Source organism: Homo sapiens, chromosome 19 (assembly GCF_000001405.40).
Source record: "Homo sapiens chromosome 19, GRCh38.p14 Primary Assembly".
NCBI lineage: Eukaryota > Metazoa > Chordata > Mammalia > Primates > Hominidae > Homo > Homo sapiens.
In genome coordinates this window covers 20,122,715-20,139,182 of record NC_000019.10, presented here as the reverse complement: position 1 = coordinate 20,139,182, position 16,468 = coordinate 20,122,715, and the positions used below count along the sequence as shown (strand labels likewise).

General features: G+C 39.8%; 2 long non-coding RNA genes and 2 pseudogenes across 2 annotated transcripts in view, besides 1 other annotated feature; 1 reads left to right on the top strand and 3 right to left on the bottom strand.

The window, feature by feature from the left end:
* The window catches only part of LOC105372310 (uncharacterized), a 148,126-nt gene extending 132,646 nt beyond the window's left edge, over window positions 1-15,480 (top strand). The window contains exons 6-7 of the long non-coding RNA XR_007067164.1: window positions 6,596-6,722; window positions 13,400-15,480. This is a non-coding gene — a long non-coding RNA (uncharacterized LOC105372310). The remainder of the gene's footprint in view (window positions 1-6,595; window positions 6,723-13,399) is intronic.
* Window positions 126-1,035: an enhancer, noted in NCBI's record as "NANOG-H3K27ac hESC enhancer chr19:20248957-20249866 (GRCh37/hg19 assembly coordinates)". NCBI's record gives its function as "activates a minimal SCP1, AML or CMV promoter by ChIP-STARR-seq in primed H9 embryonic stem cells {active_cell/tissue: H9 hESC(primed)}" and the evidence as "EXISTENCE:reporter gene assay evidence [ECO:0000049][PMID:30033119]".
* Window positions 1,950-2,250, bottom strand: BNIP3P15 (BCL2 interacting protein 3 pseudogene 15; annotated as a pseudogene).
* Window positions 12,151-13,058, bottom strand: LOC124904662 (uncharacterized). Its single transcript, XR_007067165.1, has 2 exons — window positions 13,017-13,058; window positions 12,151-12,431 (listed from the first exon to the last, which is right to left on the bottom strand). It is a non-coding gene; the product is annotated as an uncharacterized LOC124904662 (long non-coding RNA).
* RPS16P10 (ribosomal protein S16 pseudogene 10) lies at window positions 13,633-14,193 on the bottom strand (annotated as a pseudogene).
* Window positions 15,481-16,468: the final 988 nt, after the last annotated feature.

The following is a 16,468-nucleotide window of genomic DNA, read 5'->3' as shown; positions in this document are numbered from 1 at the left end:
AGTTAGCTATGTTACAAGTTCTAATATATTCCACTATACGAACATAGTCAAATTCTATTTCTTGATCAAAAAGTGTTGTTGGAAGTTGTCAGATGTATTTCAATATAGAACCCCCATTCAATGGCTAGGAGATGAGACAGCAGCAGAGATGGAAAAGAAACTTTTATAAAATTCTTCTGAAAATCTGCCACCTTTCTTCATAAAGCTCATGTTTCTCATGCTGAGAGTAGCTGTGCACATTGGGTGTTTAGAGAGAAATTTCTTTTAGGGGATTATTTTCTGGCTGACTTAGTCAATCTTATATGTATTCTGAGCTTTTTCTTTTTTTTTTTTTAATGCCTCAACTTGCCTTTATTGGATTTCTTTCTAGTGAGAATTTTCACATGACTTTGAAAGTATTTGTTAAAATTGAAAAACTTCCCGTATTTCTCACATTTGTAAGCTTTATATCTAGCACATTCTTATTGCATGTTTTTGTAAGGAGGTGGGCAAGTTGAAAACTCCCACTTTACTTACATTCGAGAAGTTTTCTGCCAGGGTGTATTTTTTCTTTTTTCTTTTTTCTTTTTTTTTTTTAATTGATCATTCTTGGGTGTTTCTCGCAGAGGGGGATTTGGCAGGGTCATAGGACAACAGTGGAGGGAAGGTCAGCAGATAAACAAGTGAACAAAGGTCTCTGGTTTTCCTAGGCAGAGGACCCTGCGGCCTTCCGCAGTGTTTGTGTCCCTGGGTACTTGAGATTAGGGAGTGGTGATGACTCTTAACGAGCATGCTGCCTTCAAGCATCTGTTTAACAAAGCACATCTTGCACCGCCCTTAATCCATTTAACCCTGAGTGGACACAGCACATGTTTCAGAGAGCACAGGGTTGGGGGTAAGGTCACAGATCAACAGAATCCCAAGGCAGAAGAATTTTTCTTAGTACAGAACAAAATGAAAAGTCTCCCATGTCTACTTCTTTCTACACAGACACGGCAACCATCCGATTTCTCAATCTTTTCCCCACCTTTCCCCCCTTTCTATTCCACAAAACCGCCATTGTCATCCTGGCCCGTTCTCAATGAGCTGTTGGGTACACCTCCCAGACGGGGTGGTGGCCGGGCAGAGGGGCTCCTCACTTCCCAGTAGGGGCGGCCGGGCAGAGGCGCCCCTCACCTCCCGGACGGGGCGGCTGGCCGGGCGGGGGCTGACCCCCACCTCCCTCCTGGATGGGGTGGCTGCTGGGCGGAGACGCTCCTCACTTCCCAGACGGGGCGGCTGCCGGGCGGAGGGGCTCCTCACTTCTCAGACGGGGCGGCGGGGCAGAGGCGCTCGCACATCTCAGATGATGGGCGGCCGGGCAGAGACGCTCCTCACTTCCTAGATGGGATGGCGGCCGGGAAGAGACCTCCTCACTTTCCAGACTGGGCAGCCAGGCAGAGGGGCTCCTCACATCCCAGACGATGGGCGGCCAGGCAGAGACGCTCCTCACTTCCCAGATGGGGTGGCGGCCGGGCAGAGGCTGCAATCTCGGCACTTTGGGAGGCCAAGGCAGGCGGCTGGGAGGTGGAGGTTGTAGCGAGCCGAGATCACACCACTGCACTCTAGTCTAGGCACCATTGAGCACTGAGTGAACCAGACTCCGTCTGCAATCCCGGCACCTTGGGAGGCCCAGGCTGGCGGATCACTCGCGGTTAGGAGCTGGAGACCAGCCCGGCCAACACAGTGAAACCCCGTCTCCACCAAAAAAGTACGAAAACCAGTCAGGCGTGGCGGTGCGCACCTGCAATCGCAGGCACTCGGCAGGCTGAGGCAGGAGAATCAGGCAGGGAGGTTGCAGTGAGCAGATATGGCAGCAGTACAGTCCAGCTTCGGCTCGGCATCAGAGGGAGACCGTGGAAAGGAGGGAGAGGGAGAGGGAGAGGGAGAGACAGAGACAGCCTGAGCTTTTTCTTAAGATCGTTTTAACTTCTGTCAAAATCATCTTGCCCAGATGGAGATCTGTTTTTCTCTCCAATGCTTTGTCTGTTTCAGAAGCCCTATTAGTATTCCATGGTGTCTCAATGAGGTGGGCTGTCACAGAAAGAACTTTTGGAGCTATCTCTATTTGGACTCATGCTGGAAATTTAGCAGCATTATTTCCTTGTCACCATTATAAGTAGAACCTGAGACTGAAACACTGGTCTTATTTTGATTATTGTGAAGGTGTAATTCTACCCAGGAGGCCTGCAGGCTCTCCTCCTGCAGCTCAGGCTTCCCTCTCTGATGTGACACTATAGTGCTGCTGTGGCAAATGGGATTCACATAAAATGTGAGCTGTGCTCTGGGCTGTGCCTCAGTGGCAGATGGTAGAAGTCAAGAGAAGACAGTAGCAACCAGGAGAAAGTGAGCAGGAGTGCTGTAGCCCAGTGCCAGGGAGTACAGAGCCACAGCTCTAAAATGTAAATAGCCAAAAAGATAGAACACTATTCAACCATTTTTGTAGCAGAGTGAAAGCCTAGCTTCAGCAGACACCTGGCTTCAAGCTACTAAACTACCTCCTGTTATGAGGATGTGAAAAGTTTATCATCATTGAATATAAGCAATTAGTATACACAGATGGCCTCTTCAATCTCCAGGTGAATTTAGGATGAACGATGTATGACATGGTGCTGCAAATTCTTCTACTTGTGAACTAATTATGGTGACCATCTTTCTGTCTTTGCAGTCTCTTAAGCAGATTGAGTATATGGACATCACATTCAAGTTTAATTGTGTAATAAAAGCATTTTCTTTCTGTTCTATTATTGTGGAGTTTCTCTGGGACTGGAGAAAAATTTTCTTTTAATTATTGTTTCCAAACACTGTCTAGAATTACCAGACATGATATAAACACATAAGGTGCCAACCAGAATTTACTCTAGAGGGGACTTTTTCTCTCAGGCTTCCAGTTAACAGACACGTGCACAGCACAGTGCATGCTGTCCCTTAAATATGCAGGCAGAATTGTGTCTCAGCCTATTTGTTATCTGTAGTCCTCTACAGTCATTTCTAGAGAAGCTAGACCAAATTTCTACAAACTTCACGGGCAGCAATCAGTCATTTCACCTTTTTCAATGACTCTTTTATCTTCAAACCTGAAAGCAATTCAGTGACTATGGAGCCCAGAAACCCAATCACAGTAGCATCTGTGCATTGATTAGACATATAGACATGAGAATCTCCACTTTCCCATTCCTCCTCTTGCCAAAATGCCCACAAATGTGCAGTTAACACCTGCTGCAACTCCAGCCATTCAGGCCCTAAATCTGTAGCTCCAAATTTTGAATCCAGGTCTTGAGATTTGGGAAATAAAAAACTTTTATCTGAAAAATGCAAGTCTTTCTGGTTATCAAACTCAGAGAGACATTAAAGTGAAAGTGCAGTTATGTCTTTCTCCCACTTTGAACTATTTATTCATTTCTTGAAAATGTTTGCTATTGCCACAAGTAGTTATAAATTAAAATAATAATGCCATATTGGACATTATATTTCATACCCTAAACCATAATGATATATATCTAATCAATAATCAAAGTTATTTGTTTAAATAAATAAAAATTTCTAACAGACAACTTTGTATCAGCCCACTCTCTGTCCCTCTCTTGTTGTCTTTACAAATCCTTTTGTAATTGCTGCTAATTGAAGTGTAGATTCCAGGTCTCTGTTTCATCTGTAAACTTTAAAGAGCCAGCAAATAATATAAAACTTTAGGATGGAGATGGGTTGTCCTTATTTGTGCCAGAAGCATTTGGTTGTGACAAAAGTGCTAAGGGTAAGGGACCCTGAGCTGTGCCTGCTTCTCTGACTAATGCTAATAATGAGCCCGGGGGAGCAACATCAGCATTCACAGGGGACTTGTATAAAACAACCATTCCTGGACCCTTTTCAAGCTTCCAGAATCACTTTACATAAAGTGGGGCCAAAATTACCAAGTGATTTAGAAGCTCGTTAAAGCTTGAGAGGCAATGATTAACTTAGTGATTATCAGCCCAGGCTTCTCATTAGGATCACATGGCTAATTTGCAGAAATCTCTTATGCCCTCTCCACAGCTTGTTTATTGTTCTGGGTGGAAGCATCCATGTTGTTTTAACGAAGGGCCTCATATGGCTCTAAGGTGAGACCAGAATCAAGTATGATTGCTTCAAAACACATTCATGAGAGTTAAGTTCCACCTTTGCACTAAAGGGTGGTCACAGGGCCTGTTCTGTTTGAATTTGGTAGGGACAGGTCAGTGTGGTGCATATTTCCATTACTGTAGCAGAAATTACTGGTGTCTGTGGCAGGGGAGGGCACCTGAGGACAGCAAAAGAGATACATTTTTATTTTCATGGAGCAGCTCATTGTTTCTGAGTCTCATTGTTTTAAAGGACAGAAATGGGTGGACTTTTTCTGTCTTTGTTTTTCTGCCAGTTGATGTCATGCTAGCAGGTAAACATGTGGCACTGACACTTTTAAAGGCATATTCTCAAGCTGGGGGTGTAATTTGTTCAGAGAATCTCATCTCAGAAAAAATTCCAGAGAAAAATGAGAAAGAAAAAAAAATGGCTTTTCTTTAAGTAAACAGGTGTCAGATGAAGAACTGTGTCCACTCTGCCTCCTGGACTGCCATGAATTTACTACTCACAAACCTTTCCTTCTCTGCTTGTGTTTTTGCTCCCTAATGAGTTTGGTTTAACTACTTGTTAAAATTATGATAGTCAAGGGTCTCTGAAAAATGTTTCTTTCCTATATCCCAGAGCCTTCTCTACATTCTCAACGTGATAGCTTCTTATATGCCATGCAAAATTCTCAGCAAGAATTTATGACCCATAACATTAAAAATGTTCCCTTTGTGGATACTCAAGATTTCTATTGGGGAAAACTGTGGTCCTTAGTAAAGATGGTGGACATGTAATGTTTAGGGTCCATCTCTGTGTTAAATTAGCTCTATGCAGAACAGGATTAAGAAAATGCTTATTTAGGCTGGATGCAGTGGCTCACACCTGTAGTCCTAGCACTTTGGGAGGCTGAGGCAGGTGGGTCACCTGAGGTCAGGAGTTCGAGACCAGCCGGACCAACATGGTGAAACCCCATCTCTACTAAAAATACAAAAAAACAAAACAAAACAAAAACATAGCCGGTCATTGTGGCGCATGCCTGTAATCCCAGCTACTTGAGAGGCTGAGGCAGGAGAATCGCTTGAACCCAGGAGGTGGAGGTTGCAGTGAGCTGAGATTGCATCATTGCACTCCAGCCTGGGTGACAAGAGCGAAACTCTGTCTCAAAAAAAAAAAAAAAATGCTTATTTAAATGGGATGGCATTTATTACCCAGAAAGTTCTGAAAAAAATTATTAGGAGATACCTGCTCTCTAGGGTGTTAAATGAAGCCTACTTAAAATTACTACTAAAAATTACAGAACATAGGCATTATCTGTGTTTTGAAGTTTGCATAAATTCAGACTATAATTTACTTTTTTGGGGAGGAATATTTCAAGAGTGATGCTGTGTTCTTCTGGGTGCATTAGCACACAATAAAAATTTGTCCTAGTGCAGTTAATAGTTAATGATTCGATTGGTGAAATAGCTTTCTGATTTTTCACTATAATTATTTTTCGCTGTATTATTAGGTATGTTTATGCCGCTGGCGTGCATAAACCATCACATTCAATCTGGCAGCTGCCCTTTTTTCTTATTTTTTTCTACATATTTTTCTTTGGAAAATGAAGACTCTTATCTTTGTTTACAGGCTAGAAAAAGTGGGAAAAACACCGACACTTCCACTTCCTGGATGTTTGACAACATATCCTTCTTGAGCCAAAAACATTGGCATTACTGATGAGCCTGTTAGAAATTCAAAAAATTGGCCAGGTGTGGTGGCCCATGCCTATATTCCCAGCACTTTGGGAGGCCGAGGTGGGCAGATCACCTGAGGTCAGGAGTTTGAGACCAGCCTGACAAACATGGAAAAACCCCATCTCTACTAAAAATACAAAAAAAAAAAAAAAAAATTAGCCAGGCATGGTGGCACATTCCTGCAATCCCAGCTACTCAGGAGGTTGATGCAAGACAATTGCTTGAATCTGGGAGGTGGAGGTTGCAGTTAACCAAGATTGCACCATTGCACTCCAGCCTGGGCAACAAGCATGAAACTCCATCTCCAAAAAACTAAAAATAAATAAATAAATCAGACTTTATTCCAGCTCTTCTGCGGAAAAATATTAAAAAAACCTGCATGAGAAGGTCTTCAGCTTATTGTATATATTAAAATTTGAGGTGCCTTCTAACTCATCTTTTCCTTTTGAAAAATATTCACAACTCATTTCATATGATGAAATAGCACTCAAAAATGTACGTTTATGCCTTTAATTTTATACTTTATTATCTAGAAAAATATCACATATGAACTGATGTTGTGTATCTTATGCTGCTGTTTTTTCTCAGAGTTAGAGAATACATTAAATAATATTTCTGTGATGAAAATTATTTTATTGGATAATTTTAGTGAGTCTTATAAGTCAGAACCATTTGTCTTTTATCTTTCATTTCACCTTAAGTCAAATTAAAAATTCCACCTATGGCCACTTGGTAAAAATGTGTGTGTGTGTGTTTTCCAGGGACCATTGCAGTTTAGAGACGTGGCCATAGAATTCTCTCTGGAGGAGTGGCATTGCCTGGACACTGCACAGCGGAATTTATATAGGGATGTGAAGTTTCAGAACTACAGAAACTTGGTCTTCCTTTGTGAGTATAACTTTAATACATAATTCATAATATACCCTAAAAGTTTTATTTCCCTTTTTTGTGGAATGTTTCTGGGTACTTTATTCTTTGCATAAAAGTGTTTCAGATGCCCCTTTTCCAGAAAATCTTCAGGATTCTTTCATTTAGAAGATAATTTCTTCAAGATGTTTCATCTTAATCCAAACTTTCCACATTCCTCAGTTGAGTGTATTCTTCACTCTAAATTAGTGGCAATTCCAAAATTTACTGGCATGAAATATTGTTGCCCCCACCTGAAAATCTAATTGCCACCACCAATTTTTGATTCAGTAGTACCAGGTAGTAAAATTAAGAAACCTAAAAAGTGAAAGTATTTTCTAAATATTTAGAAATTTCTATTATGAATTAGTATTTTGGTATTAATTTACTAGACTATTTTATTACATCCTCTCTGCTTAGCACATTACTAGCTTCTAATTGAAGAATATGAGCAAGATTCATGGTATTTATTTTTAATAAACAGGTATTGTTGTCAAGGAAAAAAAACCTTTGACTATGAAGAGACATGAGATGATTGCCAAACCCCCAGATAGGTAGAGTGAAAATGAATACAACAGGCTGGGTTCAGTGGCTCACACTTGTAATCCCAGCAATTTGGGAGGCCTAGGCAGGTGAATTACAAGGTCAATAGTTTGAAACCAGCCTAACCAACACAGTGAAACCACGTCTCTACTAAAAATACAATAATTAGCCAAGCATAGTGTCATGCGCCTGTAACCTCAGCTACACAGGAGGCTGATGCAGGAGAATCGCTTTGAACCCAGAAGGTAGAGGTTGCAGTGAGCCAAGATTATGCCACTGCACTCCATTTTGGGTGACAGAGTCATCTCAAAAAAAACAAAAAAAAAAAAGAAGAAAATGAATACAACAGACAACACAGATAAGAGGTCCCAAGGTCAAAGAGAAAGTCAGTCCTTAAATGTGATTTGGGAAGCTGTGTTCCAAAGGAAATCATTCGTGGAAAGCTGCTTTTGTTTGTTTGTTTATTTTTTTGTTTTTAATTGGCTCTCACAAAGGGGCATCTTCTGTCTGATGCTTTTAAATAAGGATTCTACTTTTCTTTCGCTGAGCTTCTTTCAGCTTCACAGGGAGAGCCAAATTCATCTTCATGACATATAACAGACTGCATAGACTGGGCGTGGTGGCTCACGCCTGTAATCCCAGCACTTTTGGGAGGCCGAGGCAGGTGGATCACCTGAGGTCAGGAGTTTGAGACTAGCCTGGCCAATATGGTGAAACCTTGTTTCTACTAAAAATACAAAAATCAGCCAGGCATGGTGGTGGGTGCCTGTAATCCCAGCTACTAGGCAGGCTGAGGCATGAGAATCACTTGAACCCTGGAGGCAGATGTTGCAGTGAGCAGAGATTATGCCACTGCACTCCAGCCTGGGTGACAGAGTGAGACTCCGTCTCAAAAAAAAAAAAAAAAAAAAAAAAGAAAATTATGCATTAGATCACTTTTTGCATCAAGTCTGAAATGTGTGAGAGTAGTAGTTTCTGTTGCATTTTTTTAATTCATTTCTCTGCACAGTACATTCTGTTTTTATTACTATATAGTCTTGAAATATAGTTTGAAATTTTAAGTATGATATCCTCCTGCTCTGTTCTTTTTCTTCATGATTGCTTTGGCAATTCAAAGTTTATTTTAGTTTCATGTAAATTTTAGAATTGTATTTTCCATTACTGTGAAAAAAAATCACTGCAATTTTGATAGGAAGTTTATTGAATCTATAGATTACTTTGGATAATGTGGTACTTTAATAATATTATGTCAATCCATAGACAAAGTATTTTAAAATTTATTTGTATCTTCTCTAATTTTTTTATTTTTTCTTTATTGTAAAGATTTTTTCCCTCCTTGGTTAATTTTTTCCTCAGAAATTTATGATTTAATGCTTTAGAAAATAAAATTTTTGCAGTGGCTCATGCCTGTAATCCTAACACTTTGGGAGGCTGAGGCAGGCAAATCATGAGGTCTGGAGATCGAGACCATCCTGGCTAACACAGTGAAATCCCGTCTCTACTAAAAATACAAAAAATTAGCTGGGCATGGTGGCATGTGCCTGTAGTCTCAACTACTTGGGAGGATGAGGCAGGGGAATCACTTGAACCTGGGAGGCAGAGGTTACAGTGAGCCTAGATTGCACCACTGCACTCCAGTCTGGTGGCAGAGCTAGACTCCGTGTCAAAAAAAAAAAAAGGAAAACAGTAATAATGGTAGTGTGTGCCAGGATTGAGATATCTTCCCAGTATTGCTTTCCCCAAGCCCCTCTATTCCCAATTAACCATTTATTTCACTGACATTGGGGCAGTGAGCCGAGATCGCACCATTGCACTCCAGCCTGGAGAGAGACTGAGACTGTCTCAAAATAAATAAATAAATAAGATTATTTTCTTCCTCTATTTTATTAGATAGTTTAAGTGTGTGAAACCATACATATACTTGTATGTTAATTTTATATTTTGCTAACTTACTGAGTGTATTTATTAGTTTAGACAGGTTTTAATGTACTGTTTATGGTTTTTTTTAAATATAAGATTGTATGATCTACAAACAGCAGCACCTTAATTATTTTTCTTCAATTTCAATGGATTTTTTTATTTCTTTGACTAGTTCTTCGGCCACATACTTCCAGTGCTACATTAAAATAGAAGCATTGGCAATAGGCACAATATAGCTTTGTATTGGTGTCTGAATTTGATGGAGCAAACACCTCTTCAGGGTTTCATATACTGATTTTATAAGGTAAAGATCTTCTTTTGTTGGGCCCTTAGAGTGATGAGATGCCCTCTGAATTTGTAGTGAAGAGGGGTTGCAGCTTTATCACAAGGCTGCTGGGTCTGCACTAGGGTCCACCTTCAGTTGGCTTGTTACAGGGGCTTGGGTAGTTGTAATTCCCAGTTTATTTTTGAGCACACTGCATATCCTTCAGGACTTTGCTCCATAGGGCAGACACTAGGGCATGTTTTTTCAGTCAGCTCTGCATATGGTGGGCCTTGTATCAGGATGTGGATGAGTGTGGCTTTCACTGTATATGAGAGAGCATTTCCTGAGGTAATTGGGTAGGTTTCTATGTAGGCAGAACTGGCCATGAACTGTGGCTCAGGTAAGTGAAACTGAGTCATTAAACTGCTTCAAGGACCACAGTAAAGGCCAAGTTCTGCAGGCCTGTCTACATGGCTGTAAACGAGTACCTTCCTCCCAAGTGTCTGGAATGGCAAGACCTCTGCCAGACTGTACCTGGGAGGAATTTGGGATGGTTACAGAGTAAGTTCTGAATTCTTACTGGGACCAAGTTGGGTGAACCCGATCCTGGTCTGTAGCCAGGAAGAGCGGTCCTGTAGTTTCCCACATGAATGAGGACCTGCCTTCTGAATAGAACACTTCTCAATCTTAAGCTTTAACAGTGTTTCACAACTGCAACCCTGGATCTCAAATAACTCTTAGAGACATTATTTTGGAGATGGCGTCTTGCTACATAACCCAGGCTGGTCTCCATATCCTGGCCTGAAGCAGTTCCATAACCTTAATGTACCATGTAGCTGTCATTACAGGTGTGAGCCATAATGTCTCGTTCTCTAATAAAGGCATGCCAGGGAAGGCTGACATTGTTTTGCTGTAAGGGGAGATGAAAATGAGCACTTTTAGTCTTTTCATCTTACTGATGTCACTCTCCCTATACATTTTTACTTTCTATTTTCTATATCAAATTTGTCTATAATTTTAGATTTATACAGTTAGGACAATATGCTAGAATTTGCATGGTATGCCTGAAATAAATTAGATAATTAGTAGGCACTCCATATTTACTAAAATAATTACTTATAAATTTAAATTTGCTGCAGGCAAAAAGGAATTATAGAATTTTCATCTACTTACTTCAGCCTATATCAAATAATACCATAGTTTTTTCCTAATATTTGTTTTACATATCAGAGGTTCTAACACTATTCTTAAAATAGTTATATATTTTCTATATTTAACAATGTAAGACTATTCTTTGCTTCTAAAGTTGGATTGCAGCAGTTTCATTTTGTGTAAGAATAGCATACATTTAAAACATAAAAAGTAACTCAAGTTTCTTTTAAAGGCTTCCTTATGGAAAGTTTCTTATTAGAATCTTCTATGTATAAATATACTGCATATTCTCTGAAATTTTACTGCCACACAGTGCATGCCAATGATTCAAAAGATCTGCAGTTGGTGAGTACACCGTAACAGTTACATATTACAGTTACCTAGACTATATATATATATATATATATATATATATTTTTTTTTTTTTTTTTTTTTTTTTGACAGAGACATGATCTGTCACCCAGGCTGGAGTGCAGTGGTGTGATCTTGGCTTATTGCTGCCTCCATTTCCCAGGTTCAAGCAATTCTCATGCCTCAGCCTGCCAAGTAGCTAGGATTACAGTCATGTGCCACCATGCCCAGCTAATTTTTGTATTTTTACTAGAGAAGGGGTTTCACCACATTGGCCAGGCTGGTCTTGAACTCATGACCTGAGGTGATACACCTGCATTGGCCTCCCAAAGTGATGAGATAGCAGACGTGAGACACCATGCCCAAACTGACAAACTTTTTTAATGATACATCGATGTTGCGTACCAGAGTTTATGAGTAAACATTTTTCTTAATCACTGTCTTGCAGTTCCATGTGTGTTTTTTCAGTGTAGGTTTTTTCTTTTTTCTTTTTTTTTCCTTCAGGTTAGGTAAATTCAATCAGCTACTTAGCTCAGTGAAGATGTATTCAAACCAAGCCACACACCACATCACATTTTTTTTTCCATAAATGTAAAAATGTAAAAATGTTTTTAATAACCTGGCACCCGGGTGTTTTTAATTCTGCTCTCAGTAAACCAGTCTAGTGAGGTTTTGTTCATGTATCTAGGAACCACCAGAAATGCTTGACAACAGTTGGCTGAGACTTTCTCGCAAAGAAGATTTGACCTGGCAAATAAGAGCCATCTATGACACTTCAGTGAATGTTCACTATCACCCATTTGAAATGTGGCCAAATACCATGTACTATTATATTTGCTTCCATCATCACCTGTCTACTAAAAGGAGACCTATACTTTTTTTTCATAACCTTAAATACCCAACTTCTGCCACAAAAACAAAAAGATAAGAGTGTGATTTTACATCACACATTCTTGGAAAAAAAATAGAGTTCTTGTCTTGGTGGAAGTTCTAAAGAGCGGGTGAGAGACTAAATGACTACCAGGAGCTAGATAATTGCTGTTTTACTATCAAATGTTCATTTTCATTTCTACATTGTCTCAAGTTATGTTAATATAAAGTAATAACTTTTATCCAGGAAATTTCAAAAAAGCTTATTTTTTCATCAGCCATAATAGTAATCAAAGACAGAGAAATGAAGGCTTTTACATGTCATAATTTATATTTTAAAATTAACATGCTTCTAGAAATAAAAAAGGAAAGGAAGAAAGAAATATACAAACTAATCAGCCTGGTCAACATGGTGAAAGCCTGCCTCTACTAAAAATACAAAAATTAGCCGGGTTTGGTGGTGCACACCTGTAATCTCAGCTACTTGGAATGCTGAGGCACTAGAATTGCTTGAACCTTGGAGGCGGAGGTTGCAGTGGGTCAAGATCACGGCACTGCCCTTCAGCTTGAGCGACAGAATGAGACTCCATCTGAAACAAAACAAAAACAAAACAAAAGAGAAGGAAAGAAGCAGATTACTCACAATACCTAAGGTATGGAATCAACCTAGATGTCCATCAATAGGTAAATGGAAAAAGAAAATGTGGTGTATGTACACAATGCAATGCTATTCAGTCCTTAAAAATAAGAGTCTTGTTATTTGCAACAACATTCATGAACCTGAACGATATTATGCTAAGTAAAATAAGCCAGCACAGGAAAACACACACACAAAATTTTTTTGTTTTGTTTTTGAAATGGAGTTTTGCCTAGGCACGCGATGGTTCAGTGGTACCATCTCGGCTCACTGCAACATCTGCCTCCTGGTTTCAAGCGATTTTCCTGCCTCAGCCTCCCCCATACCTGGGATTACAGGCGCACACCACCACTCCTGGCTAATTTTTATATTTTTAGTAGAGACAGTGTTTTGCCGTGTTGGCCAGGCTGGCCTCAAACTCCTAACCTCAAGTGGTCCACCCACCTCAGCCTCTGAAAGTGCTGATTATAGACCACCGTGCCCAGTCCACATAATCCTATTTCTATGTAAAGTGTAAAAAAAAAAAAATTAAACTCACCAGGTGCAGGGGCTCATGCACGTAATCCCAGCACTTTGGAAGGCCAAGGTGAACAAATCACGAGGCCAGGAGCTCGAGACCAGCCTCACCAACATGAGGAAACCGCACCACAACTAAAAATGCAAAAATTAGTCAGGCGTGGTGGCACACACCTGTAATCCCAGCTACTCAGAAGGCTGAGGCAGAATCGCTTGAACCCAGGAGGTGGAGGGAGCAGTTAGTCGGGATCATGCCGCTGCACTCTGGCCTGGTCAACAGAGCGAGACTGTCTCAAAAAAAAAAAAAAAAAATTTAAACGCATAGAAGCAGAGAGTAAAATGATGAAAAAAAAATCCCCTATGAGGTTTTCTTCTATTTAGGAGAGCTTCTTCATTATCTTTCAGAGATTATATTTTCTTCCATCTTCCGCATCCTCCTGTTCTTCAGCCAATAAATGAAAAAAGATACAGAGAAGACACATTTGCTTTTTATCCACTGCACTTCCACTCACTATTAGTCAATGTGGTTACAGCTGAGAATAGCAGTTTTCTGGCAGGGCAGCCACTTCTCAGCAATAAACAGCACACTGAAAAAAAAGGATAAATCCTTCATAAAAAGCTAATGAACTTTTTTTTTCCTGGAAACTTTAAAATCCCTCAAAAACTGTTTATTATACAGGTGAATTTTGATAGTCATGATGGGCTTATCGGTAGGATTTCTGGTAGCAAGCACGGGCACCAGGACCTCCAAACTTTTTGGACTTGCAGCGACGGGGATCAGCTACCAGCAGGGTCCGGTCATACTGGATGAGGATGTCTTTGATCTCCTTCTTGGAAGCCTCATCCACATATTTCTGGTAATAGGCCACCAGGGCTTTGGAGGTGGACTGACGGATAGCATAAATCTGGGCCACATGAGCACCACCCTTCACACGGACACGGATGTCCACACCAGCAAATCGCTCCTTGCCAAGAAGCAGAACTGGCTCCAGCAGCTCGTATTGTAGCATGCGCGGCTCAGTCATCTCCAGGGGCTGCCCGTTCACCTTGATGAGACCATTGCCGCGTCTGCAGTGCGCCACAGCTGTGGCTGTCTTCTTGCGTCCGAAGACTTGCACCGATTGCAGCGGGCCCTTGGACGGCATGGCTGCGAGCGTGGACTAGAGAACCTCACCGCGCGGCGCTGCAACCGGAAAAGGCAAAAAGCTAATGAACTTTAAGAAAAACAGGCATATGCATCACTAATGCTTGCGGTAAAATAAAGATTCATTTTGTTGATTGCTATTGAGCTCTGGTACTATTTAACCAAAAGCTAGCAAATATACAGCCGACAAAACATGTTATTTTAAATAGGAATACTGTGAATGGTTATTTTGTCAATATAATTAAGAATATGACATCACACTAATAGTCTCACTTATAGTTGTATAACATCAAATGCTATTTTTAATTAAAAATTTCATATAAGTATTCAATTTATGTCACCCTCCTTTGCTATTTCAAAGCCTTCTCCACTTTGTATGAGTGGAAAACAGGCCAGCAGTTCCCAGGAAAGCACGTGGCGCTATTGCTACTTTAACAATGATCGTGAAGAGCATTTGTTTCGGTGCGACTCGTGTCAAACACTGTTCAAATATGTTTTATGGGATTTCATTGACATTTAAGTGTCTAAATTATCTGGAATTTAACATTTTTCATGAACCTAAATTGAATAATCTTTTACTAAAAGCTTTTCCGAGGCAGAGAAAGATTTATATCATTTTATTATCATATGGAAGAAGTGTGTTAACCATGTTTTCAGTAATCACTCTGAACACAGCATTCTCAGCTCCCAGTATGCATCCTTAGTCACTCAGGGGAAACTGGTTTCTCTGTGAAGAGGTAGAAGAAAATGCTGAGTGGAGGCACCACACTGCACAGCAATGCTTTCCACATGCACCTATGAGGGTCTTCATTTAATTGGGCTGTTATTTGCATGGCTAGATACTTACTGAATTTAGTCATACTATTTTTTAGCAGCTAATGGCATCTGTTACCCATTAATTTTATACATTTGCTTTTTGAAAAACAAATCTTTTGTTAATTTACTCTAATTGAGACTACATTTACAATCTTCAATTTTTCAATGTTAAAGCAAATCAGAGAAGAGCAATGTGTGTATATAGTGTGCATTTTCCTGCCTATCAAAGTTTTCCCTTCATTGCATTGGAAACCCAAGGAAGCCACCTATAAAATACTCCCATTCAACACTTTGGCCTGGATTTTAGATTTCAGAAGGTCAAAAACAATGACTGAGCAAAGCCAAAATCTTGTTTTTGTTTCTTGTTAGTAATCTGGCCATTTCCAAAAGCATAGCAATTACGCCAAGCCATTGAAAAGATGTGGTTTTTATTAATTTTGTCCGTTTCCAATGTTTTATCTATTTGTTACTTTTATCACGTTAATTATTTAAAATAAACTACATAACCAATCATGCATTCAAGAAATCTTAAGGTGTTTACACTTTAATCTTGTATTACAGTATAGTAGAATCCTCTATAATTAGAAGTTAATTATTTATGAATTCATTGTTTTTAAGGTTTTTCAAATGTGAAAAACAATTAGGTATGATTTGAAATAAGTTCAATTCTAGGACATTACCCACTGGTCTTCATGGTATTTCTGTAATGGATAGTGTAAATGCAGACATGCTGATTGAATTAGAATGAGTTCAGCCTTGTTGGTAAACTATTGGTATCCCAGAGGCTGACCATTCACTACAGCTTACTAAATGTTGTTCCATAATGCCAGAGAGCACTTTTACCCAGGTTACCATTTTCCTCCCATTTATGTGGTTCTGTTGTGGTCTCCTGCTTCTCTTAAGCTATCCCAGGTGAGAGGTGATTATTTCTTGCATGAATGAGATTTCCTTTTTTTCCCTGTCATAGGATCCTTAGATTCTCCCTACTGGAAGCAACATGCAGAAGGGCAGGAATGATAACAATGTACAAATATGTTTTCTGCCATGTGGTCACCATAAGCAGCTTGCAACATGGCCCACCTAGAAGTCACTTACTTTCAGGCAAGCAGGGGTGTTTTTCTATGATGTGTCTTTCTCTTAAAAGCACCTCTGATTAAGTTTAGCACAGTCAGGACAATCTCCATTTTGATAAACACAAAGTCAACACATGAGTAACCTAATTTCTTGAGTGATTTTCCCACCAGTTGCACATTTTTTTACACTCAAGGAAAAAGTATTACACAGCAGGTGTGCAACAGACTGGGAATCCAGCGTATTATCTTAGAATGTTACCTACCCACTTGAATAAAATTTTAAAATAGTCTTTCTGCTGTTTTGTTATCTACGTAAACAAAGACATTATGTGCAAATAATAATTAACTACTTTCCAGTTTTATTCATTACAAATATTAGCTAACATCTTTTTTTCTGGCTTAAATTATTTTGTCCTTATGTACCAATTTATACATTCGCAC